The sequence below is a fragment of the Homo sapiens genome, chromosome 9 (assembly GCF_000001405.40).
Source record: "Homo sapiens chromosome 9, GRCh38.p14 Primary Assembly".
Lineage (NCBI taxonomy): Eukaryota > Metazoa > Chordata > Mammalia > Primates > Hominidae > Homo > Homo sapiens.
In genome coordinates, this window is record NC_000009.12 from 11171522 (window position 1) to 11196542 (window position 25021).

The window sequence follows — 25021 nt, forward strand, 5'->3', positions numbered from 1 at the left end:
CTTTGTGGATGCTGAAAGAGGGAAAAAAAGAGAAAAAGGAAAAAGAAATCATCTTGGCTTCAATAACAGTAGCTCACATCAATTCTAAGAAGTTGTTACATCAACTTTTCGGGCAAGACTCCACTGGTGGTGTTTATTTTTCATTAAATTCTGATTCTTGACAGAAGAGCTTACTGGCAGTAAAAGTAAAAAAATAATAAAATGTAATACAAAAACAAAATAACCTTGAGTCTTCCTAGGTAGAACCATTTCTGTTAGATTAAAAACATACTTTCAAATCTTTTTTCTAGTATTAAATAGTTACTATCTAACAATGAAAATCATATAGAATGCAAAAATTTTGAATGTGAATCAACATTTTTAATGCTTAGGTCACTGCCACATTAAATTTAAATTACTAAAATTTGAACCAAGATGACAATAACAATGATAAAATATTTGAAGGTGAAAACAAAAGAAAAAGTAACGAACAATGAAATATTTACTCTAATAATAGGTATGATAGAGATTAAGTTGATTGTGAATATTTCCATGTCAACTCTACATCTGTATAGACAGATATTGATAAAGACAGATAGTGTGGTGAGTTCAAATTGTTAATGTAAAATATGTGATATGGAGTGAAGTAGTTGAAATAATTCATCTGGAGCAGATCAAGATAATAATAACACATATATTACACCCTGTCAGGAATAAGAGTCATTTATTTCTTTCTTCTCTAAAATAAGGCATACTTACAAACATCCTTTTTGTGTTGAGCTGTCTTCCCCAAGAAGTAGTTGATGTCAGTTTCAAGTCAGCCATTCACACTGCAATCAAAGCCTATAATATCTGAGAGGTTTTCTTATGTACTGTGAAGTAGATGAAGAATAAAAATATCAGTGAAGGAAGAGAGGAATGAGAAAGTAAAAAAAGGAGAGAAAAAAACATAATTAAAAAGAAAGAAAGGAAGCTCTACCCCCATTCTTTTGGTTTTTTCCCCCTTAGAAGCTGGAGAACTAAATTCAGAAGTTTCTAAAAGTAGTAGGAAATATATTTGCTGATTGTGGTTGGGTAATATATTTTAAGATTTTTTTGGCCAAATTCAGATGCTATGTTGAGAGGCATAGCAATGACACTTGTGAAGACTTTATATATATGTAGTTTTTCACACCTATCAGGAGATTGCCCATCTATTTCAGGAACAAGACATAAAACAGTCTTCAGTTAGCCTAAGTAAGATTATATCCTCGCAGATTATCTTCTCGATATGGCAAAAGTAATGAACTGAAATGTCGTTAGCAATTCAGGCAATTATTTTCCATGGGATAAGGATGTCTGGTATTCTTCTATTTAGACTCTGAAAACTTTTTGTTCTCATACAGGCTAAGAGAAAAACATGACAATGAGTATTGGCATTAGAGAATCTTTTGTTCCATGATGGATGTGCTCCTTCTAGGAAGAGGAGGACGCTATTGGACCTCATTCATTAAATTGATGTAATGATGGCATGAACTATCACCCACAGAGATTTTCAATTGAATGTTATGCCACCAGTTACTTTCTCACAGCCTAACGGAGTGCCCATGACATTAGAGACTGATAAATTGTCCAGTGCCAATTAAAAAAAGACACTTTCCCTCTAAGCCATTTAGCTACAATATTCTCCCTTACTAGATTAGGTTCTATAAATCTGACAAGTATGATGGAAGTTTGTTTGTAAAATTCTTCAATTGAATTTTTGAAACTATATACCATAGGCTTCTGGGTTTCCACCCTGGGTCCAATGTCAGGTAGGACACTTATTGATGTCATTGAAAGACATTCTAAGTAGATATTGCAACAGAAATATGGAACGATTCAAATGTTTTGAGTAAAAATAAACTAATTGTGAAGAAAAATGCACCCATTCATTTATCAATCATGTATTGAAAACTTCAAAACTTCTTATGGACCTGCTTAGTACATGATAAGGCAGTATAAACTCTAAAGTTATATATTGTCCTCTGCCTTATACCTGCCACCTCTTTCAACTCATCTCAAATTGTTGGGTTTTGCAAAACTAACTCTTTTACCTAGAGAAATATTTTCTACTTTAGTAAGCAGATTTAAATCATAATGCAGTCTCTGAATGCACATCAGCCTCTGCTTCTGTTAGGTTGTTTGCCAAGCTAATGAATAACAGATTTTAATGTTCTTTTTTTTACCCCCATTAAAATCTCCTTAGGATTTTAGCATCCAACACATAAGAAGTAATATTTTTGTGACTTTTATCATGGGAATTATGTGATGAATATAGCCAGTTTTCTTGCTTGAGAAGTAGCGTGTCAATACTTTTTAAAAGCCTGGTGCCCAAGTTTGAATCTCATTTTCACTGTTCACTAGTCATATGATCTTGGGCAAGTCATTTACTGTTCTATGTTTCTGTGCCCTTCTAATAATATTATTATAAGTTTTAAATATAAATTAAATTAAGAATTTAGAAACGTGACAAGCACATTATTAGCATTCAATGTATACACTTACATCAAATACCAAAAAACCCCCACCTCTTTTGAAACAAAGTAAATTTAAATTTAATCATTATTTCACTTAAAAAGCATTTGGTATACCCAGCCAAAGGTTAGGTATTAGAGATATATAGATGAATAAATAATGCAAATGCTTGCCACGAATTTAGGGATGGCTCAGAAGACAGATGCATATATGTAATAAAGTAAGTCAATCATAAAAAATATTAATGGGTACTAACATTATAAGGTTAAAATAAATCCAGAATTGTATTGTTTACTCCTTAGAAATTTTAGATTAAATACACAGCTCTCTATAATCTATATGTCTTTCTGTAGATTCTATTGCCCAGGTCACTGATACCTTTGCTCAAGTGGATCTAACTAAAGAAAACACATGGAGAAAGCATTTATTACCTTTGCCTAGGGAGCAAGTTTCAGTGTAGGACACTGTGTTCTCTTCAGCTTCTTAATGATGGAGCATCAGTTAAAGCCCTTTTTGGGACACATGGTTTTATTTCAGCATTGAGAAATTCTTTCTCATTTTTGTCTTGTACAAAAATAAAATCAAATTGGCAGTGTTTCAGGAGCTTTAATGGACTTTGATATGAGCCAAAATGAGTATTTGACTTAACTGCATATCCATAAACAATTAAAAATTGCATAAACTATGTGAAGAACTAATTTTCAGGTATTAGACTATAGCTAACACAAGGCTGTGATTCTTGAGAGATGGGAAAAACAGCGGAAGAGATCCATAGTCTCTCTCTCTTTTGTTTGTTTTTGCCTTAGGACACTTTATAAACAACTGTAATTTCACTGGGCAGAGGAGAATGAAATGACAGTTTCGGGCTCCTGAGGTAGCAGCCTTGTAATGTTTTTAAGGTAACAGACAGGAGAGAACTGAATAAAGAAAACACTCTAAAAATCTATATAGGGATCCTCTTTAGTCTTCAACCACATTTGTATGTGTGCTCAGAGCCATGAGACCTGGACGAAATCAGGTGCTGGAGAAGGAGAGAGGTTTGTGAGCTGACAATGGAGTCTAGCGTTCACATGGTATAGGGAGAAATGAAAGAGTAGCTAAAGTCAACAGACTTTGACAAAGAATATATCAGGCATTTAATCAAGACCTCCCTGCATCCTCCCCTCCAAGAAAAAAAGCTACACTTTAGGAATGGGACTACTCTAGAACTACCATAATCCAACCTAAAAACAAGCCCTGACAGGATAAAGCTGATCCTTCAGGAAACTGACTGCCATCAAGAAAAAATGAACACTGGAAAAAATCAACAAAAACACATCAAAACATTAAAAATAATATTCACAGTGCCTAGTATACAAAAAAAATGTTACCAAACATGGGGATCAGCAGGAAAAGGTGACTGATAACCAAAGTAATAAGCAATCAATAGAAGCAGAGGCAGAGATGACAAGGACATTAGATTTAGAGGATAAGGAATTCAAAGCAGCTATGAAACACTAAAAATGTGTTCAATTATCTAAAGGAAAAATATAAAAAACATAATGGGAAAACAATTAGGATCCCAATAGACAGATGGAAAACATGAGAATGAACCTAGTATAAATGCAAAATCTGGAAAATACAAAATCTAAAATGATAAATGCAGGGATGGGATTAACAGTAATTAATTATTAATAATTTAAACACTATAGAAGAGGAAGTCAATGAACTTAAAGAAAAGGCAATATACATTCTCCAAACTGAAGTAAAAAAAGAACATTAAAATACTGAAAATAAGGCAAAGTGACTAGTGACCTGTGGGGTGGTATTTGGAGGTCTGATTTAAGAGCCCATCTCTAAACTGTTATGTCTACGTTAGCTTAATGATAATAATTTTCATAAATAACCTGCTATCTCTGGGTAGTTATAGAGTGCCTGGTTCTAAATATGAAAATATAACAAAAAATTTACCTTCATTTCAAGTGATTGGAAAGCAGTTTCAAAAATTCTACCTAGTTTTGAGGCAAAAGGAAGAATTCACTATAGTCATTGGGTAAATAGTTATTTAGGAAGATGAACTATACTGTGCTAGGGTTTTCAAACTAAGAATATATCATTTCATAAGAACTTATCTCTTGTGTATCTCAACCTATAAATTAATTATTTTTCTACAGCAGATGGTAATTCTGCCTCTACATGTAAGTTTAGTCTACTCAAGATTTTTTATTTTTAAAAAATTCAGTTATTGAATTTAAATTTTTCCATTGCTTTTTAAACAACAAAAATACATAGAATAATAAATATACAATAAAAATACATTGAATACATAGATACCTCTAGTAATCCCATTACATTTTGGAAGCATCTCTATCTTCTTACATTTTAAAACAAATTATATTTTTTGAAACAGCTATCTTTTTTGTCAGCTGTCTAAACATTACTGTTTTAAATTTTATAGACGTTAAAAAATTTTCCTTTACAATTTATTTTGCTTAGCTAAAGGTCATCAGAGAAATGTTATGGTTTTTATATATTGGCCTTCAACATATATTGATATAATTTGATATTTCATGACTTGATTGAAAATTTGTAACCAGTATAATGCTGAAATTCTAAACATCTCAAGGAAAGAAAGCAACTGTCATTTTTTAAAGCCTATGCTGTGTCAGACACTGTATTGACCCTGGAAGACTGATATTATCAGGATCTTGTGCAAGAGAAATTTCAGGCTAGAATAGATTAACAGAGTTAAACAACTAATAAGTGACAAAATTAGAATATAAACTCTAAGGATCATACTCTTACCTCTAGGATTCTTTTCAATAGGGAAGAGGAAAGCCGTAGGTGACTTTGCCTCAGGTTTTATAGTGCAGTTACTAAATCATGTTATTTTTGTTACATTCAATAAAACCTTTTTATTGGTTTATTTTTGTTTACATCATTACCTGGGAGATTGATGTGACTTTATTTTTTTCCTCAAACTAATTTTTAGATAAATATAAATACTGCATTTTTGTTATTCACTTTCTCTACAATGGCTTTTAAAATCTTTAAGCTCAAAGTCATACAGGGCACAGAACCATATAACACTAGATAGTTGCAAACACAGATTTAGTTCAAGCTGATCAAGTCAGTGTTAATTTAGAATTGATACTTAGGTCCAAAATTGTAAAGATATGTTTGCAAAGTGACAGAGTATTTTAGATTAAAGCTATATAAATTATTCAGAAAATTTTCCTGCATATTTCTGTCCCTTTTTTCTTTTTTTCTTATAATATCTCTTGTCTCAAACTAAACTTCAAAGGTGCATTTAACAATAATTGTTCTCTATTTGTAGCAATATTAAAAGATGTTATGTGAAAAGTAAGTTTAAAGGTCAAAAAATTGAGGGTAAATTCTAGCTTTGACAAAATAGAATAGATTTACTTACTTAGGGAACACCACAACTCTGAAAATATTTCTGTGCATAGTGATTCTCTGAACCGTATACAGAAAGCAGGTTTCCTAATTTTATTTGATAAATCACTCCTCATAGCAGTTGGTCTTTTAAACTATTATTTCAGGCAACAAACTTTGTAAAGTGTTTTCTGAATGGGTCTATTGATTTTAACCGCAAAGTCAAGGTCAATTTTCCTTTTAGGAAAGACACTTAAACTATCAGAGAAATTCTACGTATTATTCTTATTTTACATACATTATTTGTATTTAATCTGCACATTTGATTATATAGTATTAGTTTCAATTTTATGGATGTGACATCAGAATAACAGACACTTGTATTTGCTGAAGGTAAGTTTGTGATGTGGCAAAATGTACTACTGCCTCACTGCCCTTTCCCTGCCATCCCAAAGATAGCATGGACAAGTTCTAAAGCAAAACTAAGTGAAAAGGTATTCAAGCAAAGCCAGAGTGTGAGCTGTGGGTATAAACTATTTGCAGGTTCAATACCTATGCTATACCAGCTTCTGCTGAGAAGAACTTAAGAGAAACAGTGAAATATTTACTGCAACCCAGGAAGAGGTCCCACTAGCAATACACAAGTTTCAGTTCATCCGTATCCTTAGCAACACTTAGTAAAATTAGTCCTTTTAATTTTAGACATTGCAGAATATATAATACCTCTGTGATTTCAATTTGTATCTCCCTAATTACAATGATGCTAAGCATCTTTTCTTATACTTTTTCATGTTTCATGCTTTTCATGTTTTATTGCCATTTATGGATCTTCTTTGGTAAAGTGTGTTTAAATATTTGGTACATTTTTAAGTTAATTTGCTTGTTTTCTTATTGAGCCTTGAGAGTTGTTACAATCTGAATACAAATTTACTTTTGGATATATGGTTTCTGATCATTTTCTCCCAGTGTGTGGCCTATATTTTCATTCTCTTACAGTTACTCTCAAGGAGCAGAAGATCTTAGTTCAGATAAATCCCAATTTATATACGTTATTGTCTTGTGGATTGTGCTCACAATTTCTACCTTTTATGTGCAGTGTTTTGACCTTTTACATTTAGCATAATTATTGATATTATATTATAACAAATCCTTAGTTTTTAAAGTCTGATTGATTTTCCTCTTTTTCTCACTCTTTTGAATATTTATTTATGAACCCATTTTATCTTCTATGTTGGCTTTTAGCTATGTGTGTGTGAAAAACGTTTTTATTTTGTCTTTGCTTTTGAAAGATATTTTCAGGAATTATGATATTCTAGTTCAACAGATTTCTCAAGACACACCTTGCATGGTCTTTAAAAATAAGCCTGCTGTTGTTATTTTCCCCCCCCACTATACATTATGTCTTTTTATTTTCTGGCAGCTTTTAAGATTTTTTTTTCTTTATGACTCATTTTAGTAATTTAATTATAAGGTAGCTTGGTATATTCTTTTTCATGCTTATTGTGTTGATGTTTATTGAGTTTGTGGGTTTGGCAGTTAATAATTACTGTCAAATTTATTTTAAAAATTCAACTATTATTTCTCCATACTTATTGTGCACTATCCCACATTCTCCCTTCTCCTGTAGGGTCTTCGATTACATATATTATTAATCTGCTTAAAGTTTCACACAGCTCACTGATGGTTCTCTCATTTTCTTCAGTTTCTTCTTTGTTTTTCTCTATGTGTTTCATTGTGAATACTTTCTTTGGCTGTGACTTCAAGTTCACTTATCTCTTCTTCTCCAATGTTTAATATCCTGTTAATGTTTCATCACATGAATTGTATTTTCAACTCTAGAAATTTGATTTGAGTCTTTCTAAAATTATCCCATTTCTATTTAGCATGTTTTGTCTTCCCTGTACTTTCCCAGACACAGGAGAAATAACAGAGTTATAATAACCTTTTAATCTCCTTGTCTGCTAATTCAATCAGGTGTGTCATTTTACAATGTTTCCCTGGATTAAATCTTACTTTCATTATAAATCACATTTTTCTGCTTCTTTGCATTACTGGTAGTTTTTGACTAGAGCTACTCATCGTATATTTCACCTTATTTGTTTAAATAATAAAAAATTATTTCTATTCATATTCTTGAGTTTTGTTCTGGTACATAGTTAAGTTACTTGGAAACAGTTTTTTCCTTTTGAGTCTTGTTTTTTGGCTTTGTTGGGTGGCCAGGGTAACTTGTAGTCTAGGGGAATTTTTTTTTTCACTAAATAAGGTATAAGAGTCTGAAGACTTATACCAATGTTCCACGTGTTAAGAGATGTTCTACCCTGGCTGGTGGCATAAATCCCCAGGCCTGTGTGAGCTCCCAGCAATTGATCTCTCTGCCCTTTTTTGTAGATTCATTTACTGTCTCAGTTAGTTTCCTCATGTACATTTGCTAATCGGTACTCATCTAATTATCATAAGATGCACATTCTGTAGATCTCTGGAATTTTCTTTTTCTATAACTTCTCTTTTTTTTTTTTTCAACATTCTGCCTAGTAAACTGTAGCTACCTTGGTTTCTCTAGACACCCAGGTTTGTTCTCCACAACCAGACACTCCCTAGGCAGTAAGTTGGGACAACTGTTTCACTCACTTTCTTTGTTTCCCTTCTCTTAGTTATCACTGCCCTCCATTGCCTATTGTTAAAATCCTTAAAATTATTGTTTTACTATGTTTAGTTCATGTTTCCAGCTGAGGATTGTTCCAGGTTCTATTACTTTGTCTTAGCTGGAAATGGAAGTTCTATCAATGTGTATTTGTTTTTTCACTGAAGTTGTTTTGTGTATTTTGATGGAAGAAAATTGAGAGATACGGGAACTATTTTACAAACATGCTCTTCCCAGAATTTACTCTTATTTCCCCTTTTCTACCCAAAGGTAGAAAAGCCTTTGCGTACCCTTGTAATCTGTGTACTAGCTTCTTATTTCAGTAAACCATCACAAAGTTCAAAGTTTGACTTGCTTTTCTCTTCCGTAATCACTTGTAGGATGTCTAGATCTTTACATGGCCCCTCATGAATTCCTTCCAAGTCTTATCCTTACATTTCCCTATGCCTAATTTATGGGGTTATCCCTGATGATGGAGAATTTGCAATCACAAAACCTGTGATTCAGAAAAATGCTATTTATTCAGGAATTAGCTAGAGCTTGACACCATTTTCCACACTTTCCACTCTGAAACATACTCTTTGAGTAAATTTTCTTTGTTCATTTTTTTTCTCACTTTCTGCATTATTATTGGCTTGATAACCCTTAAATGCACTGACGTATGTAATAGCAAACAACATTTTATGGTCCGTCTCTCTCACCTTTGCTTTTAACTAAGAAGGCTACATAAGCTTTATATATATATGAGTATATATAATCTACATATATACATTATTTACATGTATATAATATACATGTAATTTACACAATTATAATGTAATTACATAATTATATATAACAATGTAAATTATATATATAAAGCTCATGTGGCATTCTTAATTATATATATACATAGATACATGTAATCTACACATATATATTTTTAAAATTTTATGCGTATATATATAACATACACACACACACACACACACACACACACATATATATATATACACACACACACACACACACACAAAATTTAAAAAATTAGAATCAGTGAATTTTTGTTTTCTACCCATTGGGGAAATATCTTCTGAAAAGCAACAGAGCAACAGCAGTTTTGAATATATAAGGTAAAAACTAATGCCTTCATATGATCAGGATGACTTTCCAAAATAGTTCACCTTCTCTACTGCACAGTTAATTTCAAAGCCATCTCAATTTAGAAATTTATGAGAAGAGTTTCTAAATCAGATTAGCAAAGTCTTGTCACAACTCAAATTGCTAAATGAAGAAAGTATTTGCAGTAGAGACTGTGCTTTTCTGCTGTGATGACTAAAATTAGCTTCACTTCATAAAATAGCATACTAGAGATTATTATATCCATAATGTGTCCAAAAGCATTTAGATAACTAAAATAAACTAAATATGGAAACTCTTATATTATTCCCATTAGATGAGCTTATGTTCTTATTTAAACAGACTAGCAACACAATAATCTTTATATGCAGGGCATACACATTTAAACCATTTAAATTATGTGTTCTTTTACATTTAACAAAAGCTGTTTATATAAATGCCTAATTTTCTATATTTCTTAAGAACCAGAGTTCAGTTCTCACATTCTAGTAAACCACTATAAGTTATTTAAACAAAAGAATATATAACATACTATCATAATAAAACAGCTAATTAAGAAGAAAAATCTTAGCTTAAATTAATTTGATGCATATTAAAAATTTTCATGTTAAGTTTGAAAGTGTTTTTTACATTGGGTTCATACTCCACTTATAAATGCTGGGACATACACAAACACATATATGCACACATTTACACACACATAAACTCCTAAAATAGGGAGCTAAAATCATAAGTTAAAGTGGCCAGACAGGAACATGTAAACAGCAACAAGATGAATTTAATAATTACGAAGAATGGAAGCCATTAAAAGCTACCTACAGGGTAGTTAACTGCATTAAATCAGTCTTGGGGAATGTTTACCAATTTAGAATTTACTCAATCACTTCTCTCTAAGGCGCATAGTAATTTCATTTCCCTTGATCTGTATAATCCTCCAAAATACAAAATATAAAGAAGGAAACAATTAAAACCTAAATAATGTAACCACATTAAAGGGCCAACAGATCTATATCCACTCTTCATGTTGCATTCAGGCATACATAAGTCATAAGGATTCTTTCAGCCATTCAGTATGTGTTAGTCACTACACCAAGCACTTTGAATAAAGCGATTGTCAAAGAAAAGACTTTTGCTTTCTTGTACCATCAAATCTAATGGAAGTAAGAAGACAGTGAATAAGTAAACATGTAAATTAAAGTGATATTTTCAGATATAATATGTGCTACAATTGGATATGGGGAATTAATAACAGCTTCAAACAAGAATTGTTTATTGAATATATAAAGTATGTAAGTCTTTATATTCTTGTAATGGTTCTTTCATTATATCCTGAATGACTCAGCTCTTCATGACAAATTCTTGTTATTGAAAATATTTCAGTGCAAGTTATTAACATGCTATTTTCAAATGAATTAAATGTAAAATAAATGTATATACCCCTTTACCTCACAATATTTTTCACTGTGAAAGGAAAACAAACTATGACAGAAGAGTTAAACATTTCTCATTATTTTTTTTTTCTGAAGGTACAGAAAGGATAGTTGGATAAAATATAGTATCTTTCAGATAGAAAGGACCCCTCTCTGGACTGACTTGCAATTTTTGTGAAGTATTAATATGGCTATATATGAGTGTATATGGAAGCCTCTGAATCACCTTTTTTTATGTTGAATATTTAAGTTACTCTTAAGCCCTTCGTTTTACTGATTCACACCTTTGGTTATGGGGCTGGGAATGGGGTTTGGTTTCACTGACTATTGGGTTTGAAGGCCCCTTTTTCCACTCTACTCGGCATTATAAATTATGCTATTGGGAATCACTTAATGTACGTGTTTAGTATGTGGTATTAGTGAGGTGAAATGATGGGATTAATACTGTTTTATTCAGTTAGATTTGCTTAAGAAAAATAAAATAACTTGGCCATATTCTCTGGATTTCCTTATCCAGAGTATGTTCTAAGAATGTTGGTGTTAACTAACCTCAAGGGAGGAATGCATAATGCAAATATGTGATACTGGCCAGACTACAGTAAGTGTATGTCCTTCTGCCATTGACTACAGTGTAAAATCCTACAAGAGTTATTTCACAGAGTTTCTGAAAAGCACACCTTTCATTTTGCCAATGCAGGGAGAATAAGGTTCCTTTTAAGCATTAAAGAGTTAATATTGTACCTAGGAATTTCCTCTTCCTTTTAGGTAGAGAAATTATGCTAGACCACCAAGAAAAATATGACCCTAGAACATTTTCTTATATCAATAACAACCTACTGATACTGGTCTTCCATACTCAGAAAAAAAACAATATTCCTACTGGCTACTGAAATATACCTTCAGACAATCAGCTTTTAATCTTTGTTCCTTTACATTTTTTATTACCTTTCCCCCTCACCTACTGAGTACATAGTTATATATGTGAAAATGCTTGTAAGCATACATACATACATATATTTTTCTCTTTATATACATCTTTGATTTGTGGTCTGTATTACGGAAGCCTGCTTCATGTGGTTTTTCAAACATTAAAATAGTTATTTTTCTTATTTCTCTTGGGTTATTTTTATTAATAGTCAAGTTAATTTGGGGAGCTATTTATATTGACTATCTCAAAAGTATAAATTTTAAAATTAATTCTTGTTTCAAATAGACTTCATTTTTAGAAAGTTTGAGCAACACTGATCAAAAGGTACAGAGTTTCTCATGTTACCCCTGCCCCCAGACATGTGTAAGCTACACCATTGTCAACATCCCCAGTCAGAGTGGTACATTTGCCACAATTTATAAACCTACATTGACACATCATTATCACCCAAAGTCCATAGTTTCCAATGAGGTTCACTCTTGGTGTTGTACATTCTATGGATTTAGACAAATATATAATAATATCTATCCACTATTATAGTGTCATACAGAGTAGTTTCACTGCCCTAAAACTCAACCGTGCTCTTTTTACTATCTGCATAGTTTTGCCTTTTCCAGACGTCATATAACTGGAATCATACGGTATTCAGCCTTTTAAGATTGGCTTCTTTCATATAATAAAGTGCAATTAAGTTTCCTCTATGCTTTTTCATAGCTTTATAGCTCATTTCTTTTTAGCCTGGAACAATATTCCAATACCTAGTTGTATTGCAGTTTACTTACTCATTCAGCTACTAAAGGACATCTTGGTTGCTTCCAAGTTTTGTCAATTATCAATAAAGCTGTTGAACACATCTGCATTTTGATTTTTTCACGTACATAATTCTTAAGTTCATTTGGGCAAATACCAATGAGTGATATTGTTGGATCATATGGTAAGAATATGTTTTATTTTATTTTATTTTTATTTTTATTTATTTTTTATATTTTTGAGATGGAGTCTTGCTCTGTCTCCCAGGCTGGAGTGCAGTGGTGGGATCTCGGCTCACTGCAAGCTCCGCCTCCCGAGTTCACGCCATTCTCCTGCCTCAGCCTCCCCAGTAGCTGGGACTACAGGCGCCCGCCACCACGCCCAGCAAATTTTTTGTATTTTTTTAAGTAGAGACGGGATTTCACCGTGTTAACCAGGATGGTGTGGATCTCCTGACCTCGTGATCCACCCGCCTCGGCCTCCCAAAGTGCTGGGATTACAGGCGTGAGCCACCACGCCCCGCCGAATATTTTTTATTTTATACAAAACTACTAAACTGTCTTCCAAAGCGTCGGTAACATTTTTCATTTCCACCAGCAATAAATGAGAGTTGCAGTTGCTCCCCATTCTCATCAGCATTTGATCTTTTCAGTTTTCTGGATTCAGGGCATCCTAATGGGTGTGTAGTGATGTCTCATTGCTATTTTAATTTACAGTTCCCTAAGGATATGTGAGGTGAAGCAACTTTTCATATGCTTATTTGCCACCTGTATATATTCTTTTTTTAAAAATGTCGATTCCTGTATTTTTGAGATGTTTAAAATAGACAAATAATTGTACATATTCATGGAGTACACATTGATGTTTCTATACATATAATGTACAGTGATCAGATAGGGTAATTAGCATAGCTATCATCTCAAACATTTATCATTTCTTTGTGCTTGGAACATTCAATATCCTCCCAGTAGCTATGTTAAATAATATATCTATTGCTGTTAACTATAGTCATCCTACAGTGTTAACTAACACTCGAACTTATTCTTACTATCTAGCTGTAATTTTGTATTATTTAGCAAATCTCTCCCTGTCTATTCTTTCCTTCAATGGATCTAATAGCCTCTGTTCTACTTTGAATGATATTGAGATTTTTGAGCTTCCACATATGAGTGAGAATATACAGTGTTTAACTTTTTGTTTCTAGCTTATTATACCTAACATGTCTTCCTGTTCTTTCCAGGTTGCTGAAATGGCAAGACTTGATTCTTTTTTATAGTGAATAGCATCCCATTGTGTGTGTCTGTGTATATATATATAATCACATTTTCTTTTTCCATTCATCTGCTGTTCAGCACCTTGGCTGTTTCCACATCTTGGTATGGTGAACGGTGTTACAATAAACATGGGGCCACTAGTCCTATTGCCTTGCTGATTGTCACCAGAACTAATCTTACTGCTCATTTATTTCTAGTATTTCTGGGTTTTATGGGGTTGTAGACAGTGATCCCCTGAGTGGCAATGGTGGTCAACGTGCATTCACTCCTGTTCCAAGTTTTTGATATACAAGGGAAAGCTACTCCTAAAAGAATAGGTGGCTCCCTAGGAAGTTGGGAGTGGTTACAGGATGGGACTTCTTCCCATTCATGACAGAGATAACCCCAGTTGGCACACAAATTGAGGCCTTATGGGGGTGTAATGTCTATTATTTGCTGCCAAGTTGGGTCTATAGAGATACTTTTTTCTTGTTCCAATGGGGGTGGTTGAAAGGCTCTTGTTTTCCAGAAGTGGGCAGTACTCCTACCTTCCCAGATCAATCACTATGTATGGTTTCCTCACTTACAAGTGGGATTTCATTTACCTCACTGTGGCCTTGGGAACTTGGCTACTAGGGTTTGATTAGAGCATTGTAAGGAAACTTCTACTTTTGTGTCATTAGCACAACAATGGATGAAAAACGGGGGAGAATACCTAACAAGTAAAGGTCTGGATACTAAGGGATCACTGTGGCTAATTGAGAGATCCATAGAGATGGCTGTGAGATTTTCCAGATGTGCCGGAAGAGGGAACTCTATCCTGGGGATATTGATGACAAATCCAGCAACCATTAAGATGATTTCCTGCTGCTATAATTTTTGAAACATTTACTATAGAGTTTTGTTTCCACTCACACTGGATTAGGTTAATTGGGAGAGCAAACGGAATTAACAGAGGCAGCCTGGTGTCTGGTCAAAGAAACTACAGTTAACTGGTGAGTCTGGGGTCCCACTGCTGCTTTTTGTAGCTCCCTCCTAATATCAGGAGCAGATTGAATAATAAAATGCATGCCCAGGAGAGCTTGGCCTTACAGGGAGTCAGGGTCTGCATTAGTATATTTTCCGAGGGCCTCATCCGGGTGACCCTGAAATAGAGTGGGATTTTCATCTTCTCCCCGAATTACTTCTCTAATCTTGCTATAATTAACTGGCTTAACCATGCACTTTTTAATACCTTCTATTAAAGAAGTTGGCATGTGGTTTCTGAGTTCAAGGTCCTGGGAACCTCTCTGGTAGTTTCACTGAGGGTCCAGATCTGAAACTGCACCTCCCCCTACACAATAAATGGCCTTGGTAACAAGCAGCACTCCAACTGCATATTCATGGACAATATCTAAAATCTTTTCTTTCTCCTCTATGGTACAGCAAGTAGATAATAATATTTGCAAGTCATGCCAAGTTAAATCAAAGGACATGGTCAACAAATTCCTCTATAAACTTCCCTGGATCCTCTGAAAACTGGCTAAATTTCTTCTCGCATAAAGCTAAATTGTACATTAAAAAAATGAGATATACTCTGATTGTTCCCCCATCTCTGTCTGCTTCCCACAATGGGGACAGATTTAATTTTGGGAGCTGATGTGGGGCCCCACTCTTGGTGGTATTGGTTAGGCTTATTTCTGTAGGCTGCAAAGGTATAGACTAGGCTTAGTTGGATAAGGGAGACGGGTGCCTAATGACCTTGGAAAGAAATCCTGCACTGGAGAACTGGCAGGACTTCCCTCAGAATTCAGGAAATGCAGAGGCTCCAAAGGGGGGCATGAAACTCCTAGCGGGTGCAGCTAAAAGGGGGTCATCTAAGATATCTAGTGCTGTCTTTTGGTCCCTGAAAGTGACATGGACTAGACACATTCTACAGCATTCTCTTAGGTTCAGATCCTGGTAGAGGCTATAAAAGCTGCACATAAGAAACTTCTCCTCATTTTCGTTCCCTCTTTTTTACAGAATAAGTCTAGTTGTTAAATAGCATTATAAGGTAAAGAACCATGTTTAGGTGAAATCTTTTGGTTCCCCAATTTGTATTGGACCTAAATGGTGTTGCAATAGAAAATGATTTTTTTTCCTCTATATTATCTAACTTGAATTTGCTCCAGTTGCCTAAATGACATCCTAGTGGCCAGTCCTCTGGGATACTGTCATGTTCACTTTCCAGTAAGGATTCTTACAGAAATTTTTTTTTTCAGTTTGCCCTAAGTCTAGTGAAAGCTTAGTTACTTTTCCTTTCAAATTCCCACATACTGCAGAGAAGGTGTAGGTAGAGGTAGTAAAGCTTTACAAATGTGGATTATGAGATATGAGTGGTGGGCAGTAGAATGCTTAGGGTCTGAATTCCAAAGAGATTGAAGTAAACATTTTAGTTTGAACAAAGAGGGATTAAAAAAACAAGGTCATTGTAGAAAGGAGGAAGGGTAAGGGTAAATAGTGTTGCTGAAAGGAGACCTTACAGGCCCCAAGCCAACAGAGAATCCACCCAGTAAGAGAGACATCGAAGAAAGTATTCAAGCATCCACTTGTCTGCAACTGTGGGTAGTTATCCAACAGGTCAGGGGGCCAAGAATCCCCATTCTCTTCATCCAACAGTCCAAGATGGGCTTGAGCAAGGCAGTTTATTGGACAGAAAGGAAGACAGCACATAGAGAGGGGTCCACAACTGGCTCTTACAGAAAATGATAATTTCCAACTTCAGGGCAGAAAAAAATGACACCAAGAGACCAAGATTCCCCCATGGGTGGGGCTATCACCCACAATCCTAGAGGGAATGTCAACGCTAAAAACCCCTGAGCATCTAGGGGGTGGCCAACTGTGACCTCCAAAGGCCAAATTGGAATCACAGAACAACATGACTATGGTGGTCGTGAATCAACACAATTGGGGACCTGTCACAACCAAGTGTCCTGACTTAAATAATTGCCCAAGTACAGTTAGCAGGAAGCCAAAGCAAAAAACAAAAACAACTATAAACGAAGCATTCATTTCAGTGTGGAAAATAAATGACTGGCAGAAAAAAAATAGGACAATACAGAGGAAAGGACTAAGAGAAAGGGTGACAAGAACATAGGCGGCCAGGCAAGCTTTTTTCATGACACCAAAATGACAGGGAACTTTGAATTGACCACCTAGCCAGAGGTCTTACTTCCTGGTTCACCCAATATTAAAAGGGGCCAGAGAGGATGCTCATCCATGTACAGGAGCCAAAATGGTCCCAACTGAACTCCAGCATGGAGTGAGCTGGGTGAAGTCACCCCAGGTTACCCTGGCTTGGGTGGACTTGGCTGCCACAGATGAAGTGGTGTTCGGATTTGTGACCTGACATTTGGAGTGGTGGGTCCCACATGAGGCAGCAGCTCTGCAGTTGCTCGCCCATCCACTCAGCTTCACTGCCTCCACCTGTCCAGAAAGATGATGGCTCTGAAAAGAATCTTTGGCTACTGTTACAGCTCTGTGGTGTTAGCAGCTCTTTAGTGTTACAGACTTAATGTTGCAGCTCTGCAGTTTGATCACCAATTGCCCTGCTGCTTCACCACCTCTCACCATCTCACTTCTTCACTGCCATCTCTTTCACCATCAGTTCCTCTCTGCTTCTTGCCATCTAGCTGCCTCTCCAAGCACTGACTTCTCTTGTCCCACGTTGGGCGCTATAATGCAGGGCACGTTCTTGGCTTTGCTCAGGAAATAATTTAAGAACAAGCTGGCAGTGGAAGAAAGGAGCTTTATTGAAGTGGCAGTGTTACAGATCAGTGACAGCCCGTTGCAGAGCAGCACTCACCCATAGGCAGTGCAGCAACACTAGTAGCATATGGGCTGTGACTATAGTAGCATGTTGGTTGTTGACTAAAAGTGAGAATTTATAATCACTTTTAATTACATGCAAATTATTGGGGGGTTATTCAGAAATCTCTAGAAAATGGGTGGTAACTTCTGGGTGTTGCTATAGAAAGGGCCAGCAACTTTCGTGTTTTGCCATGGAATTTGTAAACTGTCATAGTGCTGGTGTAAGTGTCTTATGCTGAGTGCAGGGAGGGCAACTAGAGGTTGTTTTTGAAGCCACTTGCTAGTCCTGGCTATTTTTTCATCTGGTTCTAGAAGCAAGTTCTATAGGTGTCTTACCTCAAAATGATACCTCATTGTGGTTTTGATTTGCATTTCTCTAATGATTTATGTTGTTGAATATTTTTAAAATACATTTGATGGAAAATTCTATATCTTTTGAGGGATATCTGTTCAAATCATTTGCCCATTTTTTAATCACATTGTGTTTTTGCTGCTGAGATGTTTAAGCTCCTTGTATATTCTGCATATTAATCCCATTGGATGAGAAGTTTGCAAATAATTCTTTTTTTCATTCTGTAGGTTGCCTTTTCACTCTATTGATTATTTTCTCTGCTGTGCAGATTTCTGATTTGATACAATCTCATTTGTTTATTTTTGCTGTTGTTACCTGTTCTTTTAAGGGTTTTAAAACAAAACCTTTTCCCCAAATTCCCAATATTCTGAAGCATTTCCCCTGTGTTTTCTTTTAGTCGTTTTAAAGTTTGAGGTCTTACATTTAAGTCTTTGATGGAGCTTAAGCTGATTTTTGCATAGGATGAAGGGTGGCGGTCTATTTCATTCTTCTGCATATGGCTATCTAGTCTCTTGTATATATTCTTTGGTGAGGTGTCTGTTAAGGTCTTTGGCCCAGTTTTAAACCAGACTTTTTTGTTGTTGACTTTTAAGAGTTATTTATATATTTATACATTTTACCTTTTTATTAAATAAGGTAATGGAGGTAAAAGGAGTATGTAATTTGCAGAATGCTATATGAATGTAAGAAGTTAAATGGAAAATTAAATTAACACAGAAGGCAATTAAGAGGTTATTACATTCTTCATAAAAGAGTTCTTAGCATTGTAAGACATGATTTATTATAAGATTCTTATAAATGGTGATCACCTAGATAGGTCTGGGAAAATGATTATATTTTCCATGTTTAATTTGTTCTTTTTGAAGAGAAACTTTATAACATAAAATTATGCAGAAACTTATTTTTAACTAATCAAACATGGCTAAGATATTCTTCCTCACATGATCTGAATAGAATTGTTGCTATATGTTTTAAAATGTTGTATAGTAAAACTACTTTTATAATCTATTAACTTGAATTTTCTGACTAAGGACACTGGTTCGTTCTAAAGATATTAGTACATATTTTATAAATGATGGCCTTGTTTTTACACAATCTGTTTAATTAGGTCACAGTTTCAATGTCAAGAAGTTTGATCGTTTTTCCCCCTGATATTTTAATGATCTACCCTTACATAATGAACCAGACTGAATTTTCAGTTGATCTAGTTCTGTCATAACTTTGCCAAAATCACTGACTAAGCCATTTTTCATTTCAGTGCTTTTGGTCACATATTCACAGTTTTAGAGTGCTTCAATTTTTCCAACCATCAGGTTATAGAGAAGGCCTATTACTGTCTCTAGTCATAACCTAATTCTTCCTGTTCATGACAGGGTCTGTTACCTGTTTTAGACCTTGTCTTTTCATCTGGTCATGTAGGTGTTTCTTATTTGGGAGCTATTTCTGACACTTCTTTTTCCTTTAGGGTATGGTTTTTTAATGAGTGATGATTTTTCAAACTTGCCTAAGTGATGCTTGTTATGTACATGCATAGTGCCGTCTAGTTTGTGGTTTATGACATTTCTAGGGAAAAAATTGTGATTTGTACAATTCATAAGTTAGCATTTTTCCAGTGCTTTGTACTGGTGGTACAACATAAACTTTAGAGATGGTAAAGACAATGGGAAAGGACATTAATATCTATTGAGGACCAAATAATATGCTAGGTGTTATGTAAAGCATTTACATACATTATCACAGGTAAATTCTAAGCTAGAACTTTCAGACAGTAATATTTTCCCATTTAATAGGTGAGGAAACAAAGGCTGTAATTTTTCATGACTGTATGGCTAATAAATGCTGGAGCTCACATTAACCCCAGGTTTATCTGACTCCCTTCTAACAAATTCTATTGCCTTTCTTCATCAAAGAAAAATCCAATCACTTTCTAACAGCTTTCCTTGTAATTAACCTACAAATACACTGGACATATTTAAAGTGTACAATTTAATAAGATTTATAATAGGAATAAACCTATGAAATCAGTAACAAAGTCAAGAAAATGAACATGTCCATCCCCCCTAAAATTTCCTCATGCCTCTTCTTACTTCTTCCCTCTATATCTCCTTCCACACTTCAGATAACTTGTTTTCTATTACTATGTATCCTTTTGTATTTTCAATAACCTATGTAAATGAAATCTGAAAGTACGTGCTGTTTTTTATGACTTATTTTATATAGCATAATTCTTTTAAGACTCATTTCATTCATATTGATGTAGATACCAACAATTCATTTCATTACAAAAATATACAACAGATAATTATAAATTCACCTGTTAATGGATATATTGGTTGTTTTCAGATATTGGGTGTTACTGAGAGAATTGCTTAGTGAGAAGCAATTGCTATGAACATTCATGTAACAAGTGTTTGTAAGTATGTGTGCTTTCATTGGTCAGGTATAAATATCTGGAAATAATATTGCTAAATAATATGATAGATGTATGCTAATTTTTATAACTATAAAACATATTTCTGAAATGATTGTTTATTTGACATTTCTCCTTGAAATGTTTGAGACTTCCAGTCATTCCTCATCCTTGCCAACACTTCATATGGTTCGTTTCTTTAATTTTATCCAGTCGAATGTGAGTAGTACTAATTTATTGTGGCATTAATTTCTGTTTCCCTAATAACTAATGATTTTGAAAATCTTTTTATATGCTTTTAAAAATTCCTGTATCTTTTTGGTAAAGTGTCTGTTCAAATCAATTTCCCACTTATTTATTGGATTATTTTCTTATTGATTTTGAGGGTTGTCTATAAGTTTTGGATATAAATCCAATATAAGATGTACGATCTGAAAATATTTTCTCCCTATCTGTGGCTTCACTTGTCATTTTTTATCAGTGTTTTTGATAAGCAGAAATTTTTCATTTTGATTAAATCCAGTTTATTGTTTGATCTATTGTCTATCTTTACATTAATACCAAATTATAGTAACAAAATACCTCTCATAATAGTAATGAAATGTCTTGTTTTGTGTATAGTCTTGACTGTCATAGCTTTGCTTTACAGTAAGCCATGAAACCAGATAATGACAGTCTTTCAAAGTTGTTCTTCTTTTTCAAATATGTTTTGAAATATGAGGTGATAATCAGGGTAAGTCTGAAGAGCTAGCACAGGATAGGAGTCATCTAGAGAAACTTTGTGGATTTTAGAGGGTTTTGATTTATTTTTGGACTTTTTTAAAAGCTCAAGTCTAACTAAATTATCTTGTAATTCCAAATCTTGGAGAGGTAAATTTCTGTAAAATCCATTCATTCAGAAAAAAAGCACATAAATCTAAAAATTTCCCTTAGGTTCTCTAATAGTAGCTAGATTTAATCTAAATTCCCAGATGGCTCAAACAAAAACAAAAATAAAACAATAACAAATGGCTCAGCATTAGTTAAGTGACTCTCAAACTGTACCAGGCCAGCCACCCAAGCAAATGCAAGGCTGACATTTTAAACAAATAAATGTGTCATGATCTACAGTATTCAATGATAGACAGGTTACCTGTGAGTCAGGAGACATTTATGCAGTTTACATGAACTCTTTGTTTTACAATCTCCTGAAATAAACTGGTCAAGGTTCTGCCACGTGAAATTAAGTGAATCCTGGTGAAGCATCTTTAAGGAACTAATGTAAATTTATAATGGTCCCAAATGAAGCAGAGGATAATTTAATTCTTAGGTGTTATAAAGAGGTATCAGATGCATAATTATTAAATAATCCTAATTTCTACTCCAAATGGGAAGAAAAATAAATGAATTGCTCAGTTATTAATACTTTTGTTTTAAGAATATAGTCAAACACTTGGGTGCACATTTTATGTTGCATCTGACAAGAGCCATGTGATTACAATTAAGAATAAAATAAGTCATATGGCGAAATCTCTTTATTTCACAATGAAAATAGCCTCTTTAATATTACTTTAATGAAGATTATATTAAAAGTAAATTATTCCAGTGTAGCTAAGTAGCTATTATCATTCACTGCTTTTAGTAATTACCTATAGCATAAATGTTCTCTAATAAAGTATTTCACACACCAATGTCTGCCATATTATTTTGCGGCCATAGTAATCTAAAATAATTTTTTATGAGAAGCAGAATTTCAGAAGAGACAATCAAACTAAAATCTTACTGGATCTTCCAGTGGCTACATTTTTCACAAATTTAGATTTATTTTTTTCCTTCAACAATATGTACAGAGACTATGAACTTTATTTTCGCTTCTCAAATATCTGCTCAATATTTTCTTGAGAGTGCCTCTAAATTTATTTTATATTTATTGCTTATAATTCACATACCAGTTGTACTGCTATCCTTTCAAGGCTAAACAGGAAGCGTGAACAGGAAGCATAAACAGGAAGCATAAACAGGAAGCATAGGGTCTTGATTCAATCTCAAAGCCTAGATTAACTACTATGGATGCAATTCCAAGCCTTGCTCAAATGCCTGGAAATACACAGGTCAAGTTGTAGACATTGTTTCTGACTACTGTTTCATCTCCCCACTGAAAAAGAACTTCATAGGAAAAATTGATTTTATAATATTGACGTTGCTGCTTACCTTAATATTTGTCCCTGAAATTATAATAACTTGAGAGCTTTTACATGAGGACTTCTATAACTCTGAAAATAAACCTGCTAATACACAGAAATAAGCTATAGTTGCCAGCCTTCAATTTTGTTTACCATTTGACACAAATCTGGTGACTATAGCAACATCTTGGCAAGGCCATACATATGGCAGAGTGCCTGTACTACTGATTATAATTTTCTGTTGACTGACTTTGAATTGGGAAGGCTGGTGACTCTAGGTCAAATTCAAGAGAAAAAAGTGCTTAGGAGAAAAATTTTAGCATCATTTGAGTTAAGCAATGGAAGAATTACAACCATAAGCATGCCCATTTTTACCAACTTTATTATCCACATCTATAAATTCATAATAATTATGCTCATATAGTAGCTTATGTAATACATATTTCATTATATGTGCCCATAAAATGTACTGTCAATAAAGTAAATGGGTAAGCATATCTTACACATATGCCACACATGACTTTTATATAAATCAAAGCATTCACATTTAAGATCATATAGGTTTTTTACATTGGTAAAAAAAATACTACCTCATGCAAATTATAGACTTCACAATTTGCTACAATATAGAAGTTTTTAAGAGAATGTCCCCTAAAGGCACTGGCAATTTGGCGTATATATTTAAGACAACTAACATGTTCTTATTAACACTGTACAGTATAAGAAACACATCTCATCTCTCTCTAACAAAAATTTTTGTTCATTTGTTATAGCTGGTGACAATAATGAACAGATGCCAATAGGAATGAATGATAATTTAGTTCACTTTAAATAAGGCTTACTAAAGTACAGAAATATTTTAAAAGATGATTACTTAGATTCAATGAATTTGTAATTGAAATAGATGCTGCAATTTTTTGGAAGAAAATGATCATTTAAAATAATTTGTTTCACCCATTTCATCTTGAATTACCAAATCAAGGGTATAATACAACTCAATACTAAAACTAGTAAAGCCCACGTTACCTTTTTGTGTCCACCTGTAAATTAGGTTGCTTTTTCCAAGACATTCTAATTATAAAATCCATGTTTCAGTTATTCAAGTCAACTGTAAATAAATGAACCTGCTTTAAGTCTGACTTCACCAGCTGTATTAATTTCAGACCACGTGTCTCCTTTCTTTGGTTTCCTCTATTGATTCTGGAAAAAGAGAATGGTATTTGATTAGAATGAAAGTGTATACTCCAGCCAATTTTGATATTTCATTTGCAAGTTACTTCCTGTAATGTCCTTCTCCTTTGATCTAATAATGAAAATGTGTCAGTATATTCTCATTACAACAGCAAGGTAAAGCAGCCCAAGCCTCCTGGGGCCAGAAGGACTATAATTTGCGAATTTAAAATGAGAAAACTATACTCTCAGTGCTTGCCAAGGAGTGTGCTGCAGACCCCTAATTTCTCCCTTCAGCAACTGAACCAACTGGGAATTTAAAAATGGGTGATACAAAAGGGTTCTAATATTGAGTGAGAGATGGGGGTGGGGAAGAAAAAGGAGAATGAGACTACAAGTAGATAGTAACTGTTGTGTTGACATTTTCTGCTCACTGGAGAATTATGATTAAAAAAATTAAAACAAAAACCAAAATATGTTGTTGTACACCCATTTCAACTTACACATCTTGATTCTTTATGGTGTTAATAGTATTTTGAATAGTAAAGCTTGATATGGATTTGAACTCACGTTTGAAAAAACAGCTTAAAACATTTCCCTCTAAGTTCACATAAAAATAAATTCAAGTTATATTCACTTCTAAAAGGCTAACAGCAAATAAATATATCTAGATAGTAACAAAATGTAGTGTAATGGGTGACTGAGTTTGATAATTAGATATATCTAACAGAAAAATGCACATGCTAAATTTATTTTAATTTAAAAACTCCAGCTGAATTTGTAATTCATGCACGTATCACATATGGATGTGAGGTAGTTAATATCCTTAAGATTAGAGGAACATTTTAACTCTTTCAAAAAAACATAAAATCAATATAATATTTTGTTTTACCTTTACCTTAAAAAGAAGACTTGAAAAATATGTGTAATATATATAATTAACATTGTTGTACACCTATATTAAATAATACATACATATTATTCCTTAGATACATATATTTACAGTTCAGTAATTTTAGTGGGTTGAACACTGTCTCTCCAAAAGATATATCTGAACCCTAATCCCCCCTACCTGTGGAAATACTCTTACTTGGATGTTGGGATGAGGTCATCCTGGATTTAGGG

General features: G+C 33.8%; 1 long non-coding RNA gene across 1 annotated transcript; it reads right to left on the reverse strand.

Moving 5' to 3' along the window:
* Positions 1-587: 587 nt before the first annotated feature.
* LOC102724027 (uncharacterized) lies at positions 588-25021 on the reverse strand. The gene is made up of 3 exons (XR_001746617.1): positions 24987-25021; positions 23753-23926; positions 588-851 (listed from the first exon to the last, which is right to left on the reverse strand). It is a non-coding gene; the product is annotated as an uncharacterized LOC102724027 (long non-coding RNA).